Raw genomic sequence first — 24,074 nt, 5'->3', positions numbered from 1 at the left:
GCCTGAAGAAATTGAGAGGTGTATTAGTTTGCTAGGCCTGCAATAACAAAATGCCACAAGGTGTGTGACTTAAATGACAGAAATGAATACTTCTGGAAGCTCAGTCTGAAGCCAAGGTTTTGGCAAGGTCAGTTCCTTCCGAAGGCTGAGAGGGAAGGATCCATTCCGGGCCCCTCTTCTTGGCTTGTAAGTGGCTGTCTTCACATTCATATGCATTCTCTCTGTATGTGATACATGTATCTCTGTGTCCAAATTTTCCATTTTTTTTTTATAAGCACACCAGTCATGTTGGGTTAAGGTCCATCCTGATAACCTCACTTCAACTTGATTACCTCTGTAAATATCCTATCTCCAAACAAGGTCATATTCTGAGATACTTGGTATTAGGATTTCAGTATATGAATTGGTGGGGGGAGGCACAATTCAACTTATAACAATAGGCATACATGGTTAAAACTAAAAGGAGCATTATAAATCATTTAGCCCAATCCACTTGTTACACATGTGGGAAAACTGAGGCTTGGAGAAGCCAAGGGGTTAGCCTAGCAGCACACAGTCGATGGGCAGAAACAAAACTCAAACTTGAGTCTCTTGACTGTGGCATCTGGGTTGTTTGCATCATATCATCCTATGTCCCTTCGAACTCCTGTTGGTTTCTTTTCCATTATTTTCTCCATGGAGAAACTGAGGTGGGGGGAATCCTGGCCTTTATAGTAGGTTACCTGGCCTTCATAAAGACTGTAGAAATTTAGCTGAGACAATTAAAGCTTTCTGACTCTACCGCACAATAATTCTCTAGCTTCAAAATTCCTCTGAAATGGCTTCCAAAGCTGGCAGGACTTTCTACTCATTAATCATCATTTATCCAACATATGTGTATCAAGAGCCCCCACTGCATTCCAGATAGAGTGAGGTGAGGGCCTCCAAGTTCCATGAGATTCGTTAGCCTAGAACATTTTCTTCCATCCCTTATCATGTGTCCACATGGAGATTAAAGATTAACAGGATGGTAGCTCTACCCTGTGGTGACCAGACAGAGAACATTCTTTGAACAATGGAAAGGCAGAATTCAAACGGTTCCATTTACTATTCCCACTCACAGTTGAAGAAATTGAGGCACCAAGATGTTAAATAATTTGTCCACCATCACATTGGAATTCAGATGGGAAGAAAGGAGAAGAGAAATTATTAGCATGTTTGCATATTAAGGTTCTGACATCATTGACCACTATGTGGCTTCAGTCCATGGTCAGAATCATTTGATTTTGTGCTCATAAAGAGCAAATCGGGCTTTATGAAGGAGAGGGATGTGCACTAAAATATGAAGCAGAGGTCACTATTATTTGGCCACTTGAACTACCTTCTAAGAGAGCAAATGTCTCATGGAGGGAGAGCACAGGGTACAGGTCTTGTGAGTGGAGGGTATGTTTCAGCAAACGTACTGTATCAGTTAGGATAGGAGAGGTTTTGCTGTGGTAGCAAACAAGCCCATAATCTAAATGGCTTACAATGACAAAGCTTTACTTCTTGCTTATGCTACACATCCCCTGGGGGCCAACTGTAACTCCATTCCACATTGTCCTCACTGTGGGGCCCAGTTGACAAAGCAGCCTCTATCTGGAACTTTGCCAACTTTCTGGCCAAAGGAAAAACACATGGCAAATTACACATAGCTCTTAGAGCTTTTTCTTTCACAGAGCTCACATTTCACTGACCAATGAAGTTATATGGCCAAATCTGATGTCAACAGGCACTGAATACGGGTGACCAGAAGTCCAATCTACCCTCATAAATATATGCAACTATGACATAGCTCTCAGTGAACCCGTTTTATGTGAGCTGGGGCTGTCACTTGAGTTCTCTGGGCCTCAGTCTCCTCATTTAGCTAGCGGTAATCATAATACTTACCCTACCTTCCTTACAGGGCCATTGTGAAAATGAAACATGACAGTCGATATGGAAAATCATTGGCAAATGATTCCTAAAGCACCCCAGAAACAAAACGCATAAATCTACCATATTTGGGATGGAAAGTGAATTGCAGTTCATGTCAACAAAGACAGGTGGCCAATGACAAAACAGGTCCTGGAGGGTATTGTCTAAGTGCTTTCCATAACCACAGGGCCCAGAATTGCCCCAAAGCTTCTGGAAAGGAGGGAAGGCTGGTATGGTTAGTAGGGTCAGCCAGGAAGAGCCCTCAGCTGTAGCCTGGACAGCTGGGAGGAGGACTGGAAAGGGATGATTTGGCTTGCTGGCATGGGAGCCCACCAATCACAATGGACTCTTCCCTTTAACCAGCTTCCATTTGTCCACACACCCTCCTGGTTGGTGCAGGTCCAGACATTAGTCTACATTAAAGGAAAATAAATAGAACAGTATTGCTATCTGCAATACTGTAGCTGAGGAAACTGAGGCTCAGAGATATTAAGCAACATGTTCAAGGCTATATCATAAGGAAACACTTACAGAGGCTTTCTTTTAATCTTTTAAGCCTTTACATACTTTACTATTTAATCCTTGCACCTACTAAATGAGATGGGTTCCTTTTACTATTCCCATTCACAGATGAAGAAATTGAGGCACCAAGAGGTTAAATAATTTGTCCACCATCACACAACTCATAAATTGCCAGTCACGGGAGATCCCCGAGGTTGGGCATCCCAAGATGCACATTCTAGCATCTCTAAAATTGGGATTATCTTTTAACTGATGGCATATCATGGTTGAAAAGTCAACATTTTTTTATTAGTGGTATATAAAATAATAGGGCATCTTAAAATTGCTGACATCTCACCTAGAATCAATAAAATATGAGACATGACTTCTTCTCACCTTCCCACCTCCCTTTGTCAACTTTTGATTTTAAAATGACCCTTCCTCCTGGATAGACGGGAAGGAAGACACAGCTATGATCCTGTTATCTTTCCTTCCTCATCCTTCCAGCTCTCTGGGTCAAAGTGCAGAAGGAGAAACTGACAAAAAGTGGTCAGTTGAAGCACAAGGCAGCAGGAGTGGCTGTTTACTGGTCCTGCATGAGATGGGGTGTTTGGGAACCAACCCAGCCTGTGTTTCTGTGGGGTCAGAGCCCTGGCCAAAGGTCCCTGCACATGGCGCCCATTTTGGCTCCTTAGTGCCGAGAGCAAACCCATTCTCTCTTATGCAGAGATGGAGCCAGGAAACTCAAATAAGAACTCGGGCAACTGCAGAAGGCACATCTAAGGTGCTAGAGTTACTGAACAAGACACGAATCTGTGTCCATTTCTTGGGGGGTAAATACTACCACATGTGCCTGAAGCTCTCACATCATTTAGCCTGTGCTGACATGAATCCCCTTGGAAGAGTTAGCATTTGGTTAGGTAAACGTTTCCCCTCTCCCGCCCCTCCTAACCTCCCCCGTTCTCCATCAATATCTTGCAGATGTTGGAACAATACGTTGACTGACTCCTTTCCCACACTGGGATGCCGGCCTGGGGAAGAATGTGGCTGAGCGCTCTGGCCGCCTTCGACCCTCAGCTACGAGGGGCCTCCTACATTCTCTCGCTTGTGTATCAAGTCGTTAGCTGCTCGCTGCCAAGTATTAAGTGCTTGTTCCACAAACCTGGTGTAGATTATCACTTCGCTGTATAGATGTATCTAATAGAATTAAATTGTTGGCTCCTGACCAGTAACAGATGTGCTACATATAATGCAATAATAATGAGATTGAAACCACCATGTAATATTAAGGGAAAAGTGGAGGGCGACTTGCATTTCTCTAGTTTGGAAGCAAACTTGGAGAAAAAGGAAACTAGAAAGGAAGGATAGCCATTTATTTGCACTGAGTGAGTGCTGTCTGTGTGCTTCAGATAACCCCAAGGATGCCTTTCGCAGCCCCATGTGCACCCGTGACACAAGTACAAGGCAAATAGGGTAGGAATAGGGATATGTTTGTGCTGGAGGTGGATTAATCCAGCTCAGTGACCACCTGCCTCCCCAACCTTGTGCTGCCCACCTTTGGGGGGCTATAATGACTTCAGAATGGGATAAATTCTTGCAGGCTGCTCCAGGTGAGGGGTGAGCAGTGAAACCCATGCTCAGGGGGCCGACACATGAACAGGAAGAAGACAAAAGTATAGATGAGGACAAATGGAAATCTGACTGCTGCTGGGCAGGCCCCAGTGTTCCCAGGTGTAGATTCCAGTGCTCTCTCTTGATGGTTATGTAGTTCTGGGACTTTTCTCAGAATTAGGATGAGCGGACATCTGCTTCTCAAAAGTCTGCAACTCTGCTTCCTGGAAGTGCTCAACAGGAGACTCAGAAGGGATTATTCCAACAGTGAAAGGGGTAGCCTGGAGATCAAAGAGCAGGCTCAGCCATAGGAGTGATGCAAGTAGACGCTTGAAAAAGTGTATGCCTATTTCTGCCAACCCTCTTGCACAATTGAGCTTCTATATGACTTTGCTGAATGTGAATCCAGAGCTTGGGCTTTTCTGGGTGCTTTGACCTGCTGCTCTTCCTTCTGCCCTGTCTTTTCTTCCCCTGTTATCCTCCTTTTCTCTTCTCTCCAATACAGTGACCCTATCAGTTTGTTATTGCTGAGTAACAAACAGCCCCAAAACTTCATGTATGGTTTTTTTTTGTTTTTCATCACAAATCTATGGGTCAGTTCTGTGAACTAAGGCCAGCCTTGACTGATCTTATCTGGGTTTGCTCATGTGTCTATAGTCAGCTGACAGATTTGTGGGACACTGGCTTGTCTAGGACGGTCTTGGCTCTTTGTGGTTCTTACAACCCTCCAGTAGGCTAGCCGGGGTATGTTCTTATGGCATTATGGGAATCATGATGGAGATCAAGCCCGATTATGTGAGAGAGTTGGTAGAAATAGGTATGCACTTTTTCAAGCCTCTACATGCATCACATTTGCTGTCATCCTATGGGCAAGCAGTCTCATGGCTAAGTTAGAATCAGGGTGAGAAGGATGATACAGCTACAGGGCAAAGGGCCTAGGTTAAAGGAGAGCATGAGTTAGGGCTGTTGAAACAATCAATCTACTGCAGTATTCTTGGAATTTTCTTGAGGTTTCCAAGTACACCCATTAGGAACAGTCAATGGGACAGGTCAGTGACATGTCCTGAAACCCAAGTCCTTCTTCAATCCATCCAAAGAAATGGTCAAGAAGCTGTCAAGTCAGTTTCTGGTTTTCTCTACCTGGACTTCTGTTTGCTAGCTTGCCATATGCTGACAATTTGGGATTATTTGCTTCTCTTCTCCCCATCCCTCCTCCCCCTCAACCCATATGCATACATACACAAAATAGATCTTAGTTCAATTTCTGGGGACCCTTTCCACCACAGTCTCCAGTCCCCAAAGGAATAGGTATGACAGAGAAAGTCTGGGTGCGAGGCATGGAACACAGTCCTAGAGGGATTGGGTGGCAAGAGATGAAGGACAAAGGAGCAAAACAGACATGATGCTGAGAGAAAGATAAATAAGGCAGGGAGGCTCTCAGGTACTGCGCCCAGAGGTACAACTGAGGTCAAGACAAGATGGGGGTAAACAGGCACATCCAATCAGGGGAACAAAGTCAAGGGTTGCATAGTCAAGTCCTCTGTAGAGCACCAGAAGGATCAGACTAGAAAAGCAAAAGGAAATTTGCTTAGCACATAATAATTGCTCAATGAATATTTGTGGACTGACTGACTAGGAAACTATCCTAAGAAACCAACAGAACCTCAAACACAAACTTGGGAAAAAGGAGAGACATTGAAGCATTATTTGTAGTAGTAGATAGAAACACACCAAATGCTCAACAATAGGGAAAGATTAAATAATTTATGGTACATCTATATAATGGCATATGATATGGTTATTCAAAATGATGTTTTAAATTAAATTTTTATGACTGGAGAAGCAGTTCACCATGTAATATGAAGTGAAAAAGCAGGCTACAAAACTGTATGCAATATCATTGCAAGTAGGCATAAAATAAGTGTGGTTTTAACAGTGGTTTATGGAAGATTTTTGTATCTTTACACTTTCTATATTTTCCAGGTTTTCCATAATGAGACTATACTTCCTTTATGACTATAAAAATATCTAAAGTTCTAAAATGAATGTGAATCTTGATTTTGAAATGGGGACCAAGATGTTAACTTCTTAAGTTATATCAAGTACCCCTTATATATTCTCCTGTAATTTGATTGGTAGCATTTACCACAAATTACGAACAGTTAGTGGTCTCTCATCTCTCTCTCCAACAGAATGTAGACCACAGGAGAGTGAGGATTTTGCCTGTCTTGTTCATTGATATGTTTTCAGTACTCACCACAGCCTTATAGACAGCAGGCCCTTAGGAAATGTTTGTTGAATGAATGAATGACAAAAGCAACTCAAAGAAAATTCCCTTTCCTTTCTACTGAATCGACTGAGACCTGCTGTAGCGTCAGTATTAGGAGCACCTTGACTGGTCCACAGGGAGAAGTGTTAGGAGCTGAGCAACCTTGGTTTGTAAATACTCACTGCCTCCAAGGGCTATAGATTGTCTAATGGGGGCTCAGCATGGTACCAAGTGCTATGGGTCTCAGGAAGGAAGAACTCACCCAGCAAGGTATAATTGCAGAATAGAGCGCTCATCGGGTCAAAGAAGGGAACTCAAACATAACGCCCAAAGAAAGGCACAGTTACACATGCCCCCTGCTTCCTCCTTGAGATGCATGCACTGTTCTTGAGTTCTTGAAGAACTCACAGATGTGTTCTTGGTCTCCTTCGCCACTTCCTCCCCTCCCATCCTCTTCAGGCAAATGATGCCCATTCCAGGCCCTGCTCTGCTCTGTCTTCCACCCCATGGAACAGGTGATTTCATCTTGTCCAGTTCTTTGTCTACAGGTCCAGACAGTAAGGAACTCTATTCTGCAGCCCTGGTTGTGTCACTTCTTTCCCAGGCACATCAAGATAACCTTTATTTTAGTCTCTTTCTTCTTGTTTCTTTTCTTTTCCTCTCTGTCCTATTTCTCCTAGAAAGTCTCTAACACCACTAGGAAGCAAATGTTAATGACAGGAAAGGAAAAAGAGAGATATCAGCAAAATGAGCCATAAGAAGCACATCCACTGTTTAACGTCCCTGAAAGTGCCCCGAGATTTGTTTCAGATGCTTCTGTCCATTCTTTAATTAAATCTGCCTTTCCTCACCCACCAATGCTTGAGATAAGAAAAACAAGTATTTTGGCCAGAAGTCTTGTTGGTCTCTTTAGTTTCATTATAAGTGAATTTTCCACTATTTTTAAAGAAGTACATATGTACAGCATTTCACTTTGTAATAATAATGGCTACCATTAATTGAATTCTTACTAATGCCCAGGAGGTGTGCTAAGGACTGAGTCTACCTAAATTATTTAATTACCTCAACAACCCATGGGCTAGTGCTATTATTATTAACATTTTACAGATGCAGAAACTGATGCTCAAAGAGAGCTGGCAACTTGCCCACAGTCATCCAATTAAGTTCTTCTTAGATCTGGAAGAATAACTACCACTTATAGGATTGTTTCTATGAGAAAAATATATATTCCTGTTCCAGATGACCAATACACATACACAGATGCACGCGTGCACAAACACACACACACACACATGCGCAAGGAACACAAACTGCTTCTGTTTCTTAGAGGAAAGAAGAGTCAATATGCATGACACTTTTGTCACCATAGCAGATATCAGTTAGGGTGGCTTTGCAGCTTATGATTAATTTATCCCCCTCTTCTGGTGATCTATCAATAGATCTGTCTCTGGATGAATGCGAGTTCCTGTCCTCTCCCAGCCACAATGATTGGTCCACAAGCTGAACCTATAATCCAAGCTGGGCCAACCATTGTCCTCCCCAAGGATTTTAGAATTTGAAACTGGGAGGAAGTGTTACTCTGTCTCATGTCTTCTCACTGAATGGCTGTGAATATAGAGTTGCTGAAGGCTGCAGAAGGAGGAGACAGCCTATTTATAGGCAGAGAGAAGGAGGCCAGAAAGAGAGAAGCAGAAACTAGAGGTGACAGAGAGGGAAGGAGGAGAGAATGAGACTGAATCCAGTTGTCTCCAACCTCTTCTTTCAGTTTTGTGAGCTGTGTCTTCAACTGCTTCCTTTTTTTTTTTTTTTTTTTTTTTTTTTCCGGAGTCTTGCTCTGTCTCCCAGGCTGGAGTGCAATGGTGCAATCTCGGCTCACTGTAACCTCCGCCCTCCTCCTCCTGGGTTCAAGCAATTCTCCTGCCTCAGCCTCCTGAGTAGCTGGGATTACAGGTGCCTGCCACCATGCCCAGCTAATTTTTGTATTTTTTAGTAGAGAGGGGTTTTGCTATGTTGGCCAGGCTGGTCTTGAACTCCTGACCTCAGGTGATCTGCCCACCTCGGCCTCCCAAAGTGCTGGGATTACAGGTGTGAGCCACCACGCCCGGCCCAACTGCTTCCTTCTTTTCATCACTGAGGAAACTGAGCTGGGGATAGTGAAAAGACCTGCCCAAGATTATGCATTAAACTAAAGGCAGAGCCCAGCCTGGAGCAAAGTCCCTGGCCCCAGCACATTGCTCTTAAGGACAACCATAGGCCTGGGAAATCGAGGGCAGGGACAAACTGAGGGTTGAGAAGGGAGAAGCACTCTGTGCTTCCTGCAGCATTTAGTCTCCGTCCTCCACACTCAGCTCCTGCCCCAGCTCCCTGCCTGCTGCCTGGATGGCTCCGCAGAAGCCCAGTCCATGCCTCATTAACTGGATCCACCTGTGGGCACTTTATTTAATTATCTCAATTGGAATGGACTCAAGATGCTGGAGTTAATGTCCTTCCGTTTTCTGAGAGCTAATTATCACCTGTAGCTTGGCCCCAGGCACGTACAGAAGGGGTCACCAGTGGCACTGTAAATGCATTGGCTGAGTCAAATGCATTCCCTCTTATTTTGGCCGGCAAGGTGAGTTAAACATGACAGGGGGTCAGCAAGCATCTGGGCCAGTCACTCGCCTCCAGACATCAGATCCTGGTGCCCTGGGTCGTAACACTTCCATCACCAGGCTGAGCATAACCAAGTGCCCAGAATCCTGGGCCTGGAAAACAACAATAGCTGCCTCTTTGGCCTCCCAGCTGTAAGCACCAGCTCTCGCAATAGTGCTAAGGGTTTTTCTACCTGCACTTCTGCCTGGGAAGGGTTTGTTGGCTCAGAGAGGTTAAGTAACTTGCCTGGAGTTACACTGGTAGACAGCTAAGCTAAGATTTAAACTTCCAACTGGCTGATGTTGTAGTTCAGATATTTTTCTGCCTCATGTCAAAAAAAAATATTATACCCCGTTTGCCTCATGGCGGGTAAATGATTACCTACTATGTGCCAAGCCCTGTGATCAGGGAAAGGAACTGAAAGATGAAATTCAAAGGTGTACAAGACACAGTCCTTTACTTCAAGGAGCGTGCATAAGCTCTTTATGGTGTTGAGATAGTTATACTCTCCTGACACCGTAATAGTAGGGTGGCATGAAAAGCGTGTAGAATGTGGAGCCAAAAGGCATGGGTTTGCCCTCTAGCTCCACGCTCCCTCACTGTGTCATCTTCCAGAAATCGCGTCACTTTTCCAACCTCAGACCCGCATCATGGAGCATGGAACGTGGAACTCATTTCATCTGCCCTGTTTCACAGGGTCTCCAGAAGCTCCGGTCAGATAACAAAAATGAAAACACTGTTTACACATGCACGCCTTTGTTTGTTGTAGAAACTATTATTATTGGATGGACTCCAAGATCCACTTTACTCCTCAAGAGGCTCAACTGTAGCATAACTCACAAGTGAGAGGTGTCAGGCCAGCAATGGGAACAGGGTCCCTGTTCAGGAATGCCTTCTCCTGCCTTCCATGGGTCCAGTGGGAAGCAGAAAGAGCCCCTCTGTGCCTTTAAAATGACCTGCTGGCTAAATAAATAATAAACAGAAATCATCATTTACTTACAGACACTCCAGAACTGGAATGTAAGTTGATTTCCTTCCCTCTTTGCCTGGAAGATTGTTTGAGGGGAAACTTTTGGTCTTGTTACACAACAGTAGCATGCGCCATATTTCTGTTTCTTTCTTCATTTGTCATTTATGAGGAGGGTATTTTGGGGTTGCCCTATGGGCAAGAAATAGGCTTGCCTTCACTAGACCAATTTGCCAGTTCACCTAATAGACACTGAACTACAGGCACCAGTGCCTGCTTTTCTGAGAAACCACTTTGTCATAAACACCTACAAAGGTTACTCAGTGTTAATCCACCCACACCGAGGGTGACCAGCTAGTCCCAGTTTGTCAGGGACATTCTTGGCTTTAGCAGAAGCTCTGCTCCCTCAGGACCAGGCAGACTGGGACAGATGATCACGCTGCCCACACCTCACCTCCCCGCTGTGTCAGGAGAGCACAGTGGGACTGAGCCTAGGATCTGGTGTCCCACATGGGCCTCATCCCTTTTCTGTTATGTAGGACAAGTTGCTTAACTTCTCTGGGCCTCAGTTTCTTCACTCGTAAATGGAGACAAGAGCAGAACCTATTTCATCGATCACTGTGATGATCAAGTGAACATATATGGAAAATACTCTATCCAGGGCAGTCACCTGGGACCCAAAAGTCCTTAGTTATTGTTATTGCCTGGCCTGGCCACAAGGAGCTTATGCTCAAGTTGAGGAGACAGACAAATGCCTTAAAAGGTGGTTTAGTTCCTTCTTCCTCTTCCCTTTGCATTTCTCTTTCAGGTTTTACCTCCCTCCTAACTCCCTGTTCCCCAACTCTGTCCCGCCGCTTCTTGTTCCCTCGTCCAAGGATGCAGGATGCTGTTTCTTTCACAGCGCATTATTCATTTCTTGGCAGGGAACGCTGTGCTCATAAGAATTAACATTTGGATTTTATTTACTGGCTTGCAAAGTGCCAGGATTGCATGGGGGACTCAGTTGCACAAACTCTCTTCATGGGAAATCAATGACAAATGGAGAAAAGGGGAGTCTTGAGGATCAAACAGCAAACCCTTCGCAATCCTTGTTTGAAAACTCAGTCCTGGCTGATTTATTGCCTTCCCTGGAGTGGTATGGGGGAGGGACATGGTCTCTCTCCGGAGTCTCCTCGCTGACCACCACACCGAACAGTTAGACCCATTCCCAGTCTTACATGAGATTAGTCACAGGATATTTCATTTTAAGTCCAGTGGAATGTTTTCCTAAATCAGACAAGACTCTTTCAGTGTTTATGGCTGTTTTTTTGGAATTCTCTTTGGCTCCGGGAGGGATTTGAAAATTAACTACATTTCCTTTTGGTGACCTGGGGCCAAGCTGGAGGAAGATGAGGCCCTAGGTTTGGGCCAGCAGCAACTTGTCAGGCTTATTCCAAGAAGTCTCTTCCATTGGCCAGCCTTCCCCAGCACCTGCAGCCCACCATGGCGGCCAGGCCAGGCCAGGCATCCCATCCCCACAAGTCTTTGTTCCACGAACTGGCCGGCCCGTACTCCATGGGAAATTGGAGATGCAACACAAACATTTTGCAAAATTAAAAAAGTGGGGGGAGCCCGAGCCATTTGGAAGAGAAGTGGAAGGCTCACACGGGGCTTTTTTACATATCAGAGCTTTCTTTTTGCCTGTGTGGTAGATGAAAATACGGAATTCTTACACAAGTAATGTGGTCAGAGGCTGCAGAATTTGTCTAATACAGTGGATTGTTGTTTCACTTGTCCTTAACATAGATGAAGAGATGAAAAGAGAGACAATCATAGAGAAATGATGGAGAGATGAGGTAATGGCCAAACAAGCACAGTCAACTGCCTGACAACTAATACTCTTTGTTCTCCAAAGCAATATCTTCCCTGGAGATTGATGAAATCCTAAAGGTGTGTTTTTCCCATTTTATAATTTCAAGTGAGTTCTATTTTACTTGCACATTTCTGCCTCTTTCCTTATACACTTATTATCTGTGGACCATAACCCACTGCAAATGAGTAGCAAGACAGCTAGTGGCACAGACTCTAGCCAAACCAACTGAATTTGAATCTAGCTTCAGCCACCTACTTGTTGTGTGTCTTTGGACAAGTTAGTGTCTCAGTATAAAATGTAGATAATGGTAGGACCTGCCTCACAGAGTTGTTGAGAAGATTAAATGAAGAATGTAAATGGCTCAGACGAGTCCCTGATGCATAGCAAGGTCTAGAAAAGTGCTTGCTATGATTAAATCTGACTAAATCCAAAAGGTTGATATCACCACAAGTTGTTTCTAGAAAGACTCTATTCACACAAGAATGAGTGTTCCTCAGAGCATGTTGTAGGCAGTCAGGTGAGCAGAAGTTGGGCTATGTTTCCTCTGGGGGTGTCCAAAGCCCTGATGAAGGCAGCTGGAGGTATAACCATTTACAAACTCCCTGGTTCTGTTTTATCAATTGTGTCCATGAGGATGTGCTAAACTACAAATAATAGAAAACTCTATTCACACTGGCTTAAACACTAAGGAATGTATCATATACCCCAAGTGCAGAAAGTCCAGAGGTATCTGGGATTACAGTTGTCTCTGGAGGATCAACTAGATCACCAGGGACCCATGTTTCTCCCATATCTCACTCTGGCATCCATGGAGTAGGTGTCCTCCTAAGGCAGCTTCCCTCGTGATTGTAATAGGGCTGGTAACAGTCAGAGTGAGGTGTCTTGTTATGTCTGTCAAGAGATAGCATAGAATGATACTCTCTGAAAGCCCTTTATTGACAAGAAGGACAGACTTTCTCAAAAGCCTCCAGGCAACCTCTTCCCATATTGCATTGCACTGTCTTCAATTGAATAACATTCCTGAACCTACCATTGAGTAGAAGGATGAGATTACCCCTAGACTGTGGTCAAATCACAAAACAGCACTGTTATGACTCAATAGAAAAGGAACAGACCAACATTGGTGGGCGGGGAGAGGGTAGTCCACTTGACTGTTCACCACTCTGCAGATTCCATGCCCCCTACCTTAGGTGGTGAGTAATGTTGAGGGTTTTTTGACTTTTCAGGAGCTCCGGAAAGTCCCATGATATTGGTTAATTCTGTATAACATTCTGCATAATTGAATTTCTAGGAATGGAGTTCTGAAGACAAGATTTTTCAAAAATACATAATGGCAAACATTAGGCCCACTGTGTGTCCTCTCCATATCAAAGCTCTCAGCTTTGACTTAAATATTGTATTAGATTAGACAGAATATTTCAACACCCTCCCCCAATTCTTCCTCCACACGGCCAGTGAGAACAGGGATTACTTCTGCCTACTTCACCATTGTATTCCACGCTGCCTGGCCAATAGTAACTTAATCAATATTTATTGAATGCATGAAAACTCCCTGCCACTGCTCTCTATCAAAAAAACACTATGGGCTTAGACCCTTTTATCAACTTATATTCATGCCCTTTGTTCCTCTTTCCTTAAATGTTTTCTTTCTCTGCTCCCTTAGATGCCTCAGAGGTCTTGAAGTTAATCACTTCTTCTAAGAATAAAATAGCTTTCATTTGTTTATTGAGCACTTATTATTTGTCTTGCCCAGTGCTAAGCACTTCACAGATATTACCTTATTTAATATTCACAAAATCCTATAAGATAGGTTTACAGGTGAAGAAAATGCCTTAACGAAGGCCATAATATCTATAAACAGAAACAGACTACAGACTCAAGCCCAGATCTGAAAGGAGCCCAGGCCTGGCCTCCTAATCACTCCCTGTGCCTTCCTAGACTTTCACAGCCCACAGAACACTCTTCCGGGCTGTTCTCTTGGTCTGTGCTCTCCTGTTGTTTTCTGATGTCCATGTGTGAGTCTCACTTCCCCAACACCGTGTTATGCTCTGAAGGTGAGGTGGGCTAGGGGCTGTGTCTTGAAACTGCTGGGTTCCCAACGCTCACCCTAGCAGAGATCCCTGTCTTGAATAGATGCCATTTGAATTGAACTGCATCCAGGGCCCTGGCCTCTGGATGGCCCAACCACAGCCAATGTGTGCAGACTGTGAGGCTTCCCCAGCCCAGCCTGTATGTATGTGTTCTGTGTCTTGGCCAAGCCAGCTTGCAGCAGGCAGTCTTAGCCAGGCACCCTAGAGCAAAGCGCAGTTTCCATCTGAACAAAGCATAAAGTCTGCCATGGATCCCAGGCTGACTGGCTCGACCTGGTTCTCTTCTACGTGAGCAAGCTTGGTGACCTTGGCTCCCTGGATCTGCTGTAGGCCTCTGTGGCTCATCCTTCCACTGAAGTATTTGTCTATGTGTGCATAGCTCTTCCAGGCTGGAGGGAGCACTAGGGAACTGGACTCTTCCTCCTCCATTAAAAGAACTGTGTGAGAACTCTTGACCTCTCCCTGAAGGCACAAGGATGGAACAATTTACAGCTGCTTGTTATGGGTTGTGTCTCTTGGGGCGTGAGTTATGAGCTTTCGGCTGGGCCACACATACATGCACAATCTGTTCAGCACAATTCTGGTCACTTCTTCCCAGAGCTCAGCCAAATTTAGGGCAAATGTGTGGCCACTGGCCTATTGGACCAACCATTGAAGAAGCTGGTAGAGCTATGGGCTGGTTTAGTCTCCTGGAAACCAAAAGCAATTGCTGACATCTGGAAGCCGTGGGGTGCATTCCAAGTGCCGGGTCATTAGCCACAGTCATGGGAGAGAAAAGCTCTGATAGTTAGGGAAGGGGCAGAAAGAAAGCCACTTCTCTTATTGCCATTTCTCAAGACTCAAAAGGCTGAAATCCCTCTCCCACCCAAGCAGGGTCCCTAACTGGGTAAATAAAATTCTATGGTTGAGATTGTGAAGCTTTATCTCGCTCTGTCTAGTGGATCTTTAAGCCATTTGTTTCCACCTTCTCTGCTTGTTGTTCTCTCTGATCTCATCCCTTACCCTTTCCCCCATTTCTATGTGGGCAGAAAGACTAGGGGAGCAACATTCCATTCTCTTCTTGGCTCAGTACGCAGTTTTGTCCTTCCTATACTTGATCTCTAAGCCTCAGGGAAAAATAAAGATTGGGAGACTCAGGACACAAAGGAATAAAATTTCCTGATTTCCTAAGGAAGTCAGGGAAGCACCCATATGTAGTTTTTATATAAGATTAAAAGACAACACAATGTGTTCTCTCATCACCTATGCTCAATACAAAACAGATTGAGAAGACAGAAAGATTTGACAAGTCAAAAACCAAACAAACAAAAAATAGTTTGGATAAATCCAAGCAGCTGAGTGAACACAATAAATGTGAATGGATCAAATCCATCATATTAAAGGATAAAGACTTCCAGACTGAATTTTTAAAATATCCCAAAATGACTTTATGGTACTTCAAAGAGATAGATGAAGGAAAATGACACAAGGAGGTTAAAAATAAAGGAATGATAAAAACTATCAGATTCAGAAAAAGGGAAAGTAAAGTGAGGAACAGGGAGAATTGCTACTAGGTGTGTCTTCTTTCTCCAAGAAACAATATATTTAGAAACAATATGTTGCTTGACTTTATCCTCAAAGTAATCTTGAGGAAAAGCATTTAGAAAACATGTCCAGGGAAGACTCCACACTAAACTTCTCCTCCATTCAGTCCCCACCCTCTCCAATTTTAGAAATAGGTGAAGCACAGAAGTCTCTTGGGCATCTCTGCTCCATTTTTCCATTCTCTATAAATGAAAGCAAAGTTGTTAAATTAAAAACAAGTTCAGAATTCTCCATGTGCTTATCCTCACTACCACCCTAGGAAATGGCTTCAGGCAGGCAAGTTTGGATAATCCCCAGGCAAAGAGATGATGTATAGACCACAGAGCCAATTTTGTTATTGGGCCAATTGGGCTGCCCATTTAGCATCCAAGTGAAACCAGAACAAGGGAAAATGGTGGCAACCAACAGAGGAACAGATGGACAAATGTGTGGACTACACTGCATGCACATAGTCCACGGATGGGCCTCAGCCCTTAATATTTTATGTACATTATGAATCTATGAGCTTCCCCCTCACAACACGGCTTATAGCTTTCAGTAAATTTTCAAACGGATTCATGACTCCAAAGGGTTTTGAAACCATTGACTGGTTGGTGAAATAATTTCAAAACTGAAATGAGAGTCAGTACCCTGCATCCTGCAAAGACTCACAAGTCAAGGCTTAGGCTTCTACTGCCATTTACAGAGCAGAGATGTTTCTGAAGTTGGTAAAACTAAGCATAGAACTCAGACCTTAATATCTCTGGGTGAAAGGTGGGTATGGTATTGGGGTTGAGGAGGGTGGAGGCTTGTGTAGGCATCATGGTAAACCAAGAGTGAAATTACCTTCTCTCTGGTTCTCTCTCCCAATCACTCCACAATCCATTTCATATGGAAAAGCATTTTCCAGAGTGACCCATTTAACAAATCCCATAGACTTTACCTTGAAAAAAATGGGCTTATTGGTAGAATAAATTTGAGAAATGCTGTATAAGTTACCCTCCCCCAATGAAGAGTCACATGGTACATTTTTATAATAAAGGTTGTGACAAATGCTGCAATAAAGAAACCCATTTAATTTAACTTAATTTAACATAGTGTTTCTAAAAGTTATTTGAGCAGACTTTTCTCCCCCCGCCCCCCAGAACTTCTTTCTGCATGCTGCTAAACCAGAGTTCTAGTGCACATGCTCTGGGGAATGCAAAGAAAGTCAAAAGTCTAACGTACTTCCTGGCATTCAAAGCCTCCTTCTGGCTCTTCTCTGCCTCTCCCTTTCCATGAGCCATTACCCCTCCAGCCAAACTTGGTGCCCACCCTAAGCCCATCACACCTTGCCCTTCGCCACCTCTTACTTCCACAGGCATCATACACTCTCCCCATCAGCACCCTTCCCAGTCTTCCTGGTGTTCCAAATCTTATCCATCATTGGTCCTAGCCCATATTCCTTCTTTCTTTCACAAAGACTTTCCAGCAATGAGCAGATGAAAAATAAAAGCATGACTTGGGGGTAGGGACACAGATATAGCAAGGAGAGTAACCCTCTGTGGTCACCCCCTGCCATCTCCCAGGTCCTTTTGGACAAATTGTGTTCTTAGGTGTGGACATCTAGTTCTCATCTTAGTTCAATAATGACTGCAGCTCTGTCATCTCTATGCATTTCCAAGCTGGGGGTAACAGGATAATGGAGGAAAAGAAAAGCAAATTTAAGAAATGGATGAGTATTAAGTGCAGAGTCAAGATATACTTGACTCAATCCTGACTTCTCTTGACAGAGATTTGCCTTTACCTTCAGAGTGAGGCTCTTCTAGACCCAATCCTGCCATTTTACACCAGCTCCTATGATGAATCCACAGTCTGAAGTGTAGTCTTTATGAAGGTTAGACCATAGGGGAGGGAGGTCTTGGTGACATGCTGAACTCCAGTGAACCTTAGATAGTCAACCAAAGAGGCATGGAACACTAAGTGAGGTCCTGGCACCCCAAAAACTTCCCTAGAATGCCAGCCCACCTCAGAATGACTTCTTTGTGCAGCATAGAGATCTCTGGTTAGTCAGGTCTCCAAGTTCAGACGGTAGAGCCCTTAGCTGCAGAAACTACAGCCACCTCTTCCTCCATGGCCCTCAGACACAATATTTTGTTTCTTAAACTTAGATTAAGGGGTGGGCATGAACCCATCCTTGGGTCTGTGGAAGCTCTTTGCCTTGAGAAGACCCAGGCAGTAGAAATTACTCCTCAAGGTAGTAGCATAGCAATAAAAGGTGGCAAGAGGAGTGATGTACATCCCGGTTCATGCCCTTCCTCCATCGCTTCTGGGCTGTGCAGCCTTAGGTAGGTTACTTAGCCTCTCTGAGCCCTAGCTGTTTTATTCATGAAATGAGGACAGTAAGCACATTCATATCATAGGTCTGTTATAAGGATTAAATAAAACACAAACCCTCTTAAAAAGTGCCTGGCTCACGTAGACACTTGTGAGTAGTAACTGTCATTATCATTATGACCATTATTACCATACAATACTCTGGATTGGGAATCAGAATGCCTGAGTTCTAGGCCCAGATCTACAACTAATGTTCTTCCTGGCCTTGGAACACACTGGGCCTCAGTTTTCCCATCTGTAAAGGGAGAGTTCTGTACGCCCTCAGAAGAGAGTCAAGAGGCTCGAATGAGATAAGAAGTATTAAAGTGCTTTGTACAATGAAGACTCTAAGAGAATTGTATGTACCATTAGGGATGAGCATACAGTCTGGGTCACCAGCTATTCTTTACTCATTCTTTTCTTTTTTTTTTTGTTTTCAGACGGAGTGTCACTCTGTTGCCACGCTGGAGTGCAGTGGCGCAATCTCGGCTCACTGCAACCTCACCTCCCAGGTTCAAGTGATTCTCCTGCCTCAGCCTCCCGAGTAGCTGGGACCACAGGTGCCCACCACCACGCCCGGCTAATTTTTTGTATTTTTAGTGGAGATGGGGTTTCACCATGTTGGCCAGGATGGTCTCAATCTCTTGACCTTGTGATCCACCCACCTCAGCCTCGCAAAGTGCTGGGATTACAGGTGTGAGCCACCGCGCCTGGCCTCTTTACTCATTCTTAACTTTGCACATGGTTCCTCTTTCTCTCTCCTAGCTCCTCCTTCTTGCTGAGATTCTGGACTCAGATGGCTCACCCTGGTGTCTGATGTGGCTGCCAGGAGTTCCTTTGCTGTGGCCAGCCCTTTAGGATTCTCTGCAGACTGGAGAGAAGACAAAGAATATTCCATCTTCCAGAATCTCAGAGGGCTTCCTTGATTTCATCAATTTCATGTTGTCTGGCTGGACACCACAGTCTTCAGAATAACTAGAAAACTGGAGCTTCTGAGCAAGGCTTACATAAGGAAGCCAAAAATGCTCCCTGTGGCAAGATTTATTACTATCATCATTATGATTATCACTATTGTTGCTATTATTAGCAAATATTATCAAGAGCATGATGATGGTGAGCATTTACTGAGAGCCATGCAGAGGCCAGCACCTTGGGAGGCCGAGGCAGGTGGATCATTTGAGGTCAAGAGTTCAAGACCAGCCTGGCCAACATGGTGAAACCCTATCTCTACTAAAAATACAAAAATTAGCTGGGCATGGTTGCACTCGCCTGTAATCCCAGCTACCTGGGAGGCTGAGACAGGAGAATCACTTGATCTTGGGAGGTGGAGGTTGCTGTGAGCCGAGATCGTGCCACTGCACTCCAGCCTGGGTGACAGAGTAAGACTCTGTCTTAAAAAAAAAAAAAAAAAATCCATGCAGTATGCTGAGAGCAGGTCACACATTCACACATTCACTCCTCACCACAGCCTTACGAAAGAGGTACTAGCATTGCTCCCATTTTACAGATGGTGAAACTGAAGCTCAGACTGCTCCCAGCCCCATAACAACTCACACTGCAAGGTGGCAGTGAAGGGTCTGTGGTCGGGAAAGGAGAAACAGTCCCCTCTGAATTGATCATTTTCCTCTGGAAGTTGTTGGGCTAGGGAGCATGTCTCCTGGCTTCCCCTGGTGAGCTCCTTTGTGCCTGGATATGCAGCCCATGAGCATGGAATGATCCAGGCTGAGCTGGTAATCTTGGCACCATGGCATCACTTCGATCCTCAACCTCATGTTTATCATTAGAAGATGGTCAACATGGCATCACTTTTCATCACTTTCTGCTTAGGACAGGAGGTTGAGCTAATCATACTCTTCAGCTCATGGTACATTATCATCACTGGTGGAATGATTCAGTCGTTCGTTTGTTTTATTTCTTCTTTGTATTTCTATAGCCCATTTCCATTCCTCTCCTCCCATAGGCAGCTCTTCTAATGCATTTAAGGTGATCTTTTTGTTTCATAAATATTGCTGCTTCACGTGTGTGTACTTTTCATAGTGTCTTATCCTGTGTATTTTATTTTTATTTATTTTGTTTTTACTAAGCTCAGGATCATGTTCTGAAGATCTATCCATGTTGGGGCATGTATCTATACACTGAGTTTATCACACTCCAACAACTGAGCAGCTTTCTAAGGGAAGGGTGAAGCCAATAAGACAAAGAGCATGCAGATTGTGTCACAGATGAGTCAATACGGGAGTCTGAGAGGAGGAAGGGGAAAGTTCCAAGTGGAACAGCAGCATATTCAGATGCTTTCTCCCTGCCCAGCCTACGCACTCACCAAGAAGTCCAGAACAGACTCCCAGTTCCTGCAGACACCACATTCAGTAATATCAGCCTGAAACGGGGGAAGGAAAGAAGCAAGAGGTGGAGGTCAGAGCACAGTGGGTCCTGACCTAAGTCTCTTCTGCTCTGACAAACCCACGTCTTCTAGGATGTCTGCAGTGGCTCAGCCTCACACAACTTCACCCAGGTTATACTGCTGATGTGGTCATGAGTGCATGTATGGCTCTGGGGATTCAGGCTGCTCCTCTATCAAGTCATAGGAGAGTTCTCCATGTGTCCTGGGCATAGAAATTTGACCCGAGGTGGCTGCCAAAGCTGGGGGCTGGGGGGTTGCTGGTCTTCGAAGGGGACCCAGTTTTTTGGCAGCCTTTTCTGTCCTCTGTACATCTACACAGAACCAGAGAAATGGGCTGACTTTTTAATAAATCCAAATCAGTTTCATTTTTTAAAATTGAAATTTCACAGGTCATCAGCCTACCCCATGGCCCACTGCCCTTGGAGAGGATGGAAAAATAATTGGAATCATATGAGCCAGTTTGATCAGAAAAGTGAATGTGGTTTGGAGTGAAGGCCTGGATTCCCTGTCCTTGGTGACTAACTTGACCTCACCTTCCCCAAGCCTAAACCCTGTAGAGATGAAGCTGCCTTCCTGCCTGGGGAAATTAGCTCAACTTAAGAGGCAAGAGGTCACCTACTTCCCCAGAGGCCAAGATTGTTCACCACCAGAACAAACAGTTGAAAAGTGAAAAATTCAGCTACACAATGGAGTGTTTCCAAACCTTTGATGGATGGCTGTCCCCACCCTCCAGCTCACTGAAGTGATTATTTGTTTGAGTGGGCTGTAGACACAGTTGTAGACAACACAACTTTATCAGTGTCGCCAATGGTCAGAGTTTGCTGGGAGAAACTATTATATTTCAAGCTTGCAAATGGCTCTAAAAACCATGACGTGGGAAAGGGGTGGGGAAATGCATCCATATATCTTCATTAAGGTTTCTTATTATGCATCTCTGAATATTTTCTGGGAGATCTGATACATAGCTTCTAATTTAGCAGAGACTGTATCAAATCAGGTTGAGTGACAGGAACAATTAGTTTGCTTCTCTTATTCAACAACAAATTAAGACAAACTCCCAGAAATCTATTCTTTGACTAGTTCCTACACTCTCTTCTTGGTCATCATAAGTAATATGCAAAGAACTATGCACCAGTAGTTAATGAAGGGACACGGTTCTCCCTTAATGGTGCATTTTCCATCCGGAAATGAAGAATCAATTCGTGAAAATGGCCATACTGCCCAAGGGAATTTATAGATTCAATGCCATCCCCACCAAGCTACCAATGACTTTCTTCGCAGAATTGGAAAAAACTACTTTAAAGTTCATATGGAACTAAAAAAGAGCCCACATTGCCAAGACAATCCTAAGCCAAAAGAACAAAGCTGGAGGCATCATGCTACCTGACTTCAAACTATACTACAAGGCTACAGTAACCAAAACAGCATGGTACTGGTACCAAAACAGAGATATAGACCAATGGAACAGAGCAGAGCCCTCAGAAATAATACCACACATCTACAACCATCTGATCTTTGACAAACCTGACAAAAACAAGAAATGGGGAAAGGATTCCCTGTTTAATAAATGGTGCTGGGAAAACTGGCTAGCCATATGTAGAAAGCTGAAACTGGATCCCTTCCTTACACCTTACACAAAAATTAATTCAAGATTGATTAAAGACTTAAATGTTAGACCTAAATCTATAAAAACCCTAGAAGAAAACCTAGGCAATACCATTCAGGACATAGGCATGGGCAAGGACTTCATGTCTAAAACACCAAAAGCAATGGCAACAATAGCCAAAATTGACAAATGGGATCTAATTAAAGTAAAGAGCTTCTGCACAGCAAAAGAAACTACCATCAGAGTGAACAGGCAACCTATAGAATGGGGGAAAATTTTTGCAATCTACTCATCTGACAAAGGGCTAATATCCAGAATCTACAAAGAACTCAAACAAATTTACTAGAAAAAAATCAAACAACCCCATCAAAAAGTGGGCGAAGGATACGAACAGACACTTCTCAAAAGAAGACATTTATGCAGCCAACAGACACATGAAAAAATGCTCATCATCACTGACCATCAGAGAAATGCAAATCAAAACCACAATGAGATACCATCTCACACTAGTTAGAATGGCAATCATTAAAAAGTCAGGAAACGACAGGTGCTGGAGAGGACGTAGAGAAATAGGAACACTTTTACACTGTTGGTGGGACTGTAAACTAGTTCAACCATTGTGGAAGACAGTATGGCGATTTCTCAAGGATCTAGAACTAGAAATACCATTTGATCCAACTATCCCATTACTGGGTATATACCCAAAGGATTATAAATCATGCTGCTATAAAGACACATGCACATGTATGTTCATTGAGGCACTATTCACAATAGCAAAGACTTGAAACCAACCCAAATGTCCATCAGTGATAGACTGGATTAAGAAAATGTGGCACATATACACCATGGAATACTATGCAGCCATAAAAAATGATGAGTTCACATCCTTTGTAGGGACATAGATGAAGTTGGAAACCATCACTCTCAGCAAACTATCACAAAGACAAAAAACCAAACACCGCATGTTCTCACTTATAGGTGGGAACTGAACAATGAGAACACTTGGACACAGGAAGGGGAACATCACACACTGGGGCCTGTTGTGCGGTGGGGGGAGGGGGGAGAGATAGCATTAGGAGATATACCTAATGTAAATGAAGAGTTAATGGGTGCAGCACACCAACATGGCACATGTATACATATGTAACAAGCCTGCACGTTGTGCACATGTACCCTAGAACTTAAAGTACAGTAATAATAAAAAAAAGATCTCATTTAACAAAGGCAGTATTTGGATATCAAAAAAAAAAAAAGTTGTGCTTTGGAATTGGAAGAGTCCTTTCACTTGAGCAGTCTTTTCTAAGTTGTGAAACATTTTCTTTTATGACTAAGCCATTCACTAATCCCCTCAATTCCCTAAACCTAGGAACATGTCCACATTTTCCACAGGGCTTGAATGGCAATCTCCCTCCACTGACAAGAAAAGATTCTCCTATGAGACTTTGTAACTGGTCACACGAAAACAATCGTCCTTCAAAACAAAGAAATCAAGACAAATGTCTTTTTTTAATTTTTTAATTATACATTGACAAATTATGGTCATATATATTGAGTACAAAGTGATGTTATGATTTATGAATATAATCTGGAAAAATTCAATAAACTAATAGATCCATCATCTCAAATACTTATCTTTTTTTGTACTAAGAACATTTGAAATTTACTCTCTTAGTGATTTTGAAATGTACAATACATTATTATATTCATCATACTTTGCAATATATCTCAAAGGGAAAAAAGCTTATTTCTCCTTTCTAATTAAGGCTTTGTACTCTTTGAACATCATCTCCCAATTCTCCCCACCCACCCCCAGCCTCTGGTAACCATCTTTCCACTCTCTGCTTCTTCGAGTTCATTTTTTTTTTTTAAGATTACACATACAAGTGAGAACATGCAGCATTTGTCTTTCTGTGTCCTGTTTACTTCATTTAGCATAATGTCCTCCAGTCCCATCTGATATGGTTTGGCTCTGTGCCTCCACCCAAACCTCACCTTGAATTGTAATAACCCTCGTGTGTCAAGGGTGGGACCAGATGGAGATAATTGAATCCCCCATGCTGTTCTCATGATAGTGAGTGAGTTCTCATGAGATCTGATGGTTTGATAAGCGGGCTTTTCCCCCTTAGCTCTGCACTTCTCCTTCCTGCCATCATGTGAAAAAGGACGTGTTTGCTTCCCCTTCCACCGTGATTGTAAGTTTCCTGAGGCCTCCCAAGCCATGCAGAACTGTGAGTCAATTAAGCCTCTTTCCTTTATAAATTACCCAGTCTTGGGCATGTGTTTATTAGCAGCG

The sequence above is a fragment of the Homo sapiens genome, chromosome 10, assembly GCF_000001405.40.
Source record: "Homo sapiens chromosome 10, GRCh38.p14 Primary Assembly".
NCBI classification, from domain to species: domain Eukaryota; kingdom Metazoa; phylum Chordata; class Mammalia; order Primates; family Hominidae; genus Homo; species Homo sapiens.
The sequence above is the reverse complement of the archived record's forward strand: the minus strand, read 5'-3'. Positions refer to the sequence as shown.